The sequence below is a fragment of the Homo sapiens genome, chromosome 15 (genome assembly GCF_000001405.40).
Source record: "Homo sapiens chromosome 15, GRCh38.p14 Primary Assembly".
In the NCBI taxonomy this organism is placed as follows: Eukaryota; Metazoa; Chordata; class Mammalia; order Primates; family Hominidae; genus Homo; species Homo sapiens.
Window position 1 is genome coordinate 21,242,626 of NC_000015.10, and position 7,245 is coordinate 21,249,870.

Consider the following 7,245-nt stretch of genomic DNA (forward strand, 5'->3'; position numbering starts at 1 on the left):
AAATCAGGCTGACCATTATAAACATATCCACTTGATGAATTCATAATATAGAAACAAGTTTGGAACTTGGACCATGATATTAAAAGGTATACTAAAAGCATCACAAGGCCTTCCACATTACTTAAAAAAAAATGGGGGGGCCTGCTGTTTTCACATAACAATTAATGCTGTTGGGTGGCAGATTTTCATTCTAAAATTATTCTTTAGAAAATATTTTATTGTCTTTTTATTGATCTCCTCAAAATCCTACTATTCTGGATTATAAATAGTGTATAAATGTATAAATGAATATTCTCTTCAACAGCATGTTACCTTTACCTCTTAGAAGTACTTATTCCTCCTTCCTTGTATTATTGTTAGTAAAAAAAAAATCTCTCTTTCGTAATATAAGAAAGAATATTATCTTATTCATCTTTTGTCTTCCTGATCCCTACCCTAATTTCTCAGGGAACATTTAACTGAATTAATGTCAAATTCAAAAATGGAGTAAGAATAGAATAGGTAGGAAAAAACAAAGCCTGGGAAGAGAAGAAAGAAGATTCTAACTCTGCTTTTAAATGTATTTCATTTGATTAACAGTTTCAAAATATTTTTATATTTTGGTATTTGTTTTCATTTTCTCAAGTAAAACTACTTTAAAAACAGATCTACACTTGGATAATTTATAGTTATAAATCTGTAACCTTTAGATGGAACAATTTAAATCTCATAGAAAATGTAAGCCCTGGAATTTGATCTATATATTAATTTTATGTGGTGACAGAATACATAATTTTTAAGAAGTACTATAATGTGACATGGCTAACCATATTTGGAAATAATACCTGAGAAGTTATAAAAATAGTTGCATTATAGCATCCAATCCAGAATTAACTAAACCAAATAGGAGCACTGGCGGTTACAAAGAGAAACTTCTGTTCAATAAAGAGAGATTGTTCCAACATTTAGATTAGCCTATAATGGAACAGGTTATCAGAAATGTTCATTTTTATTGTAGAAAGCATTATACATACACACACATATACCCATAACATGTATGATTATATATTCAATAAATTGTGTAAAACTATTTTAATTGTAGAGGTACACCATAGTCTATTATCCATTCTGCTCCTCCCAGGACTCCAAGGTTGTGCTCCAAATAGCCTAATCCAACCAGATTAATCATTTGTTGTTGTTTTGGTGGAGTGATGGGGAGGGTGGCAGGCAATGATTAGTTCAGAGACTCAGTATCAAAGTGTAGCATAGCAACAATTGATTCAAAAGAAGGCCAGCCAAGCTCTAAGCTAACCAATCAAATTGGAGAGAAGAATCTTGCTCAGTAATTGACAGAAAGGAGCTTGCTTTCTTCACCTGGATGTGAAGGTCTATAGCACTAATTCTCTCTGGCAGCCTTGTGACCTCAAACAGTATCAGCTTTAGCATAAAATCAACACTGTAGCTGGTACAGCAGAGATATAGATAAAACCTGGGTCTCTGATGACATTATTGAGACTCAGATAACCCAGCCCTGAAACACAACTTATGTTTGCTGCTTTTCCAACCTTTTGCTGCCTTTCCAACCTCCCTGTCCTGTTTTAATGCTTGAGACGCTCCCTTGCCTACTGGTTTCCAGTTGAGTTTGACTAATTGAAGACATTAGCAAGAAATTAAGGGACAGAAAGAAAATGAAGTTGGGTATACATTTTCCAGATTTTACCCCTTCAGTACACTTACACTATACTCCTTTCTTGAAGACCACAGTCCCATCAGGCACCCTTCTTCTATAGCTACAATAACTTTCTCTTTGGGTTATGCTAAACACTTATTCCCCTCATCTCTTCAAATCTTCCCAAGCTCCCTGCTTTCAACTTTTTGAATACCCTTGCATTAAACTCTTCTCAAAAACCTAGGTTGAGTACGCCATCTGTTTCCTGCCAAGAATATAACTGATATGCCATCTAACACTAGACTTTGTTACATTAGTATATTTTCTTAATGTTTAAGATACTTTGAATCAAATTTTCTACTAACCACAATCAAAAATATCCTATTGAATATACTGGATAACCTCTAAGTTTTCCACAAGATCATATTTTGGCAAAACAAAACAAAAACACCTTAAAATTTTTTCATGGAACAGTAAAATTGTTATTAATAAAAGGCCTCGCATATACTATCTTCCTAAGATATCTTCTATGACAAGGAGATATAAAAGCTAAGTGGCAGTTAACCAGTAACCTGTTATTAAGTTAAGAAATTAAAAAATCAAACTTCTATTACCTATACTATTAATACTAACCTGGCCACTGATTATTTAAAAATAACACAATATGAGCATTCCTCTGAGAAAGGTAAAAAAGTTACTGTTTCTTAGGTAATCAGACAAGCATGCAAGGACTTTTCATATACTCAATTCAACAACTATTTACTGAGCCCAGCACTGTGCTAGGTGCTGAAGATATAACAATAAGGGGAGACAAAAAAAATATATACATACATATACACATACATATATATATATATACACATACATATATATATATATATACACATACATATATATATATATACACACATACATATATATATATATATATATATATATATATATACACACACACATACATATATATATGTATATATTGCCCCTGCTTTCATGAAGCCTACATTCTAGCAGGAGGAGGCAGAAAATTGGTAAAAAATATAAAACACGCCAGAATGGTGCTGTAAAATTAGCAGAGTAGGTAAACACTGATGGTTATGGAAGGGATACTAATTTATTTAGAATGATTGGAGAATATTTCTGTGATAAGGCATCATACAAGCAAAATCCTGAATGAAGCATAGAATCAAATTCTGTGAGTATCTGAAGAAAAAGTGATGGAAACAATGGGGGAAGTAAATGCAAAAGTCCTTGGGTAAATTCTTATCATTTTAGTTCTTAAGGGAAAGGCAAAAAGACCTTTGCCTAAAACAGAGAAAGCAAGAGAGTGGGGAGAGATGATGTGAGGTGTAAGGCTTATGACTTCATTATGAGAAGGATGAAGACTTGAATAAGATTTGGCACATTTTAGGACAACTAGTCTAACTGCAAGTGAAAAACGGACTGTAGGTAACCAATGGTGAAGGATGATCATGGTTTGAACTAAAATGGTATCAACGGACATAGTAAGGAGTTGAGAAATAATGAGGAAGTAGTAATTGATTCTGGATATGTTCTGAGAGTAAAACAACATAATTTCCTGAGAGTTTGGATCTAGAGTGCAACAAAAGTAGAGTCAAAAACAATTAACTTTTTGGTTTCAACTACTTGTTGAATGGTAATGCCACTAAATAAGACAAACAACTCTGAAGGATGAAAAATTTGAGAGAAAAATCAGTTTGGATAATTTAGTCAAGAAGATTACTAGAAATCCAAGTGGAACTAAAAATAGGAGAAACAATTGAGGGTAATTAGTATTTACAGGATCACGGGAGCTGTAGAAGTGGATAATCTCAATTAGAGTAAGGTACTGTGTAGATGGAAAAGTGAAATGCTTTCCAGGATTAATCACTGGGAAAGAAGAGTCATCAGAGTTTATAAAGATGAAGGAGAACTAATGAGAGAGAATAAGTAAGAGAAAAACAAAGCAAACCATGGCAAAACACAATGCAAGAAAGCATTTCAAGAAGGAAAGACTGTTCAACCGAAATATTCACAGGTCGAATAAGATAAGGACTGAGAAATAATCACAGGACAGACTGTGAAGGCCACTGGTGACAAAGACATGAGCCATCTGAAAGGACATGGAAGAACGAAAGACAGGTTGGAATAGGAATAGATTTAGGAGTAAGTGAGTGTCCAGGAATATAAGGAAGGTTTAAAATCTGAAAAATAATCAATGTAATTCACTAAGAAAAATGAGAAACATCATACTCATCTCAAATACTGCAGAAAAGATGTTTGATAAAATCCTGTTTATAATAAAGAAAACTCTTAGAAAAATAGAAATAGATAATTCCTTAATTTAACTAAAAAATCTACAAAAACTAATTATTAAAAATATCATACTTAGTGGCTAATTATTAACAGCATTGCCCATGAGATCAGGAATAAGACAGGGATGGCCACTATCACAACTTTTATTCAACACTGTACTGGCAGTCTTTAGGTGGCATAACAAGGCAAGGAAAAAAATAAAAAAATAAATATTAGAAAGGAAAAAACAAAACTATCATTCTCCGATGTTATTATTGTCTACAAAATTTTTTTTGAAAAAATCTACAAATGACTAGATTTAATAGAGGAATAGAAAGATTGGTATATAAAAGTTCAACATAAATATCAATTATAATTCTATGTACCAGTAACAAATTAAAAATCAAAACTTTTAATTGCTTCTTGGCCTTTTGGGTAAGATCAAGTGCAAAGAATTAAAATTTTAAGGGCATCAAATAATATCAAATATCTGCAAATAAATCCATCAAAAAGACAGAAACTGTTCTATACAGAAAACTACAGAAGAAAATCTAAATTAATAAAAGAATATACCAAGTATATGACTTGAAAGATTCAATATAGGAAAGATGTCAATATAATACAATAAAAATCCTCATGTTTTTTGGTGGAAGTTGATAAGCTGACATATATGGAAATGCAAAGACTCAGAAATGGCCAAGGCAATCGTCAAGAACAACAGTAAAGCTAGATGACATACTCTTAAATATCAGGCTGCACTAAAAAGCTATACAAATTAAAATACTGTTGGAATATTACTTAGCAATAAAAAGGAATGAAAAAAATATGCTATAACATGGATGCACACTGAAAACATTATGCTAAGCAAAATGGACCAAATACAAAAAGACAAATATTGTATGATCCCACTTACATGAAATATTTAGAATAAGCAATTCATAAAGCCAAAAAGTGAATTATGGATTGACTAGGGGTGGGAATCATGAAGAGATATAGGGAAAATTGGTAAAGGAAATGAATAACAAAGAAGATAAAATATTCATTTTCCATAATTATATATGAAAATGTCTAATCTTATTCAAAATCTAGGAAAAGTGCAAATTAAAACCACAATGAAATAATATTTTGCATCCACTAAATTGACATTATAATATGAAATATTAACATACATTTTTATTTGAAGGCTTTTACAAATATTTCTAATTATAAGCTAAGTTTTAAGTAAAAGAATGTTTAATTTAGGATTTTCTGATACATTCTCAAGTAAACAAATGAAAGCACATTTAAAGGGGTAAGTCCTCACAGAAATCCTGTCACACACAGTAATCTTACAAAGGCATTTCATATGTTATAAAATTCATGTTAAATGTAGCTTATCATACATCTTCTAAACAATTCTTAATACTCTAGATACAGAAAAAGAGTATTCTCTTATTTTAAAAAATAAACCAAAGAGCCTTAAGTTCTTAATAATGTTATGGAAAAAATCATCTCAATAAAGAAATGCTACCAATGATCAATCTTAACAATCTACCACTCTTCAATGCTTAATCCTTAAGGAAAGGTCAGCACTAGTTTCAAAGACATATTTTTTATATATATAACATATATAGGTATAAAGACATGTAATATATAAAATATAGCATATTTTAGAACTTGACTCTTTTTGTGACTAAATAATATTCAATTGCATGTATATACTACATTTTGTTTGTCCATTAATCAACTGATAACATTTCAAATGTAAAACAATTGGAGGTAAAATTAAAACTGCTTCAAAGTATCTTCTCAATTTTTTTCCAGAGGAAATGTATGTTTATCCCTTAGTTGAGATCTCACTTCTATTACTTTTCAAATAGTCTCATTTTCAGAGCAGCTGAATATTATAGAGTTAACTAACTGATAAGAGGTTTGAGAGTGCTAATAAAGGGCACAGGTATTTGTTATTAAAAAAAACAGCAACATGCTGGCTGGACGCAGTGGCTCACGCCTGTAATCCCAGCACTTTGGGAGGCTGAGGCGGGCGGATCACGAGGTCCGGAGATCGAGACTATCCTGGCTAACACGGTGAAACCCTGTTTCTACTAAAAACACAAAAAAATTAGCTGGGCGTGGTGGCAGGCGCCTGTAGTCCCAGCTACTCGGGAGGCTGAGGCAGGAGAATGGCGTGAACCCGGAAGGCGGAGGTTGCATGCAGTGAGCCGAGATCGCGCCACTGCACTCCAGCCCAGGCGACAGCGAGACTCTGTCTCAAAAAAATAAATAAATAAATAAAAAATAAAAAATAAAAAAACGCTTATTCATGAAATCTCACTAATTTTAAAGGAAATCACATGATACAACTAAACTCTTGTGAGATCATAATCAGAAATTCAGCACTCATAAAAGCACAGCTGTGACTAAAGCAAAAGAGGTCATAAAACAACATAAATGACACAAAATAGGAAAATGTAAACCCATCTAATTTTTATTGTTTATACTATGTATAGATGAGAAAAACTACTTTAAATAGTCATATATATTAAGAGTAGGGAAAAAGAGCACAAAATAATGTTTCTATTACTACAAAATAAAAATTTTGACCGCATAATTAAAAAATAACACAAAACCTAACAGGTAAATCCATGTATACTAAATATAAAGATTTTTATCTTAATAAAAAAGACTTTCAAGAAACAGTCTAAGGCCAGGCGCAGTGGTTCATGCTTGTAATCCCAGCACTTTGGGAGGCCGAGGTGGGCAGATCACTTGAGATCAGGAGTTCAAGACCAGCCTGGCCAACGTGGGGAAAACCCTGTTTCTACTAAAAATACAAAACTTTAGCTAGGCATGGTGGTACGCACCTGTGATCCCAGATACTAGGGAGGCTTAGGCAGGAGAATTGCTTGATTGAACTCGGGAGGTGGGGGTTGCAGTGAGCCAAGATCGCACCACTGCACTCTAGTGTGGGAGACAGAGTGAGACACTGTCTCAAAAAAAATAAAAAATAAAAAAAAAGTCTAAGTGAAAAGATAGCAAAGAAACAACTACAGTACTCACTTCTTATCCGGAGGCGATGCTTCCAAGACCCCTAGTGGATGATATATACGATTTTCAGTCTGAGAACTGAGATAGCTACTAAATGACTAATAGGAAGACAGTGTATACTGCATGAAAAAGCTGAGCAAAAGGAGGATTCATGTCCGGACTTGATGAAGAGGGACAGTACGAGATTTCATCACTCTACTCAGAACAGCACACAATTTAAAAGTTATAAATTGTTTATTCCATTTAATATTTTTGAACTGCAGTTGTCCATGGGTAAG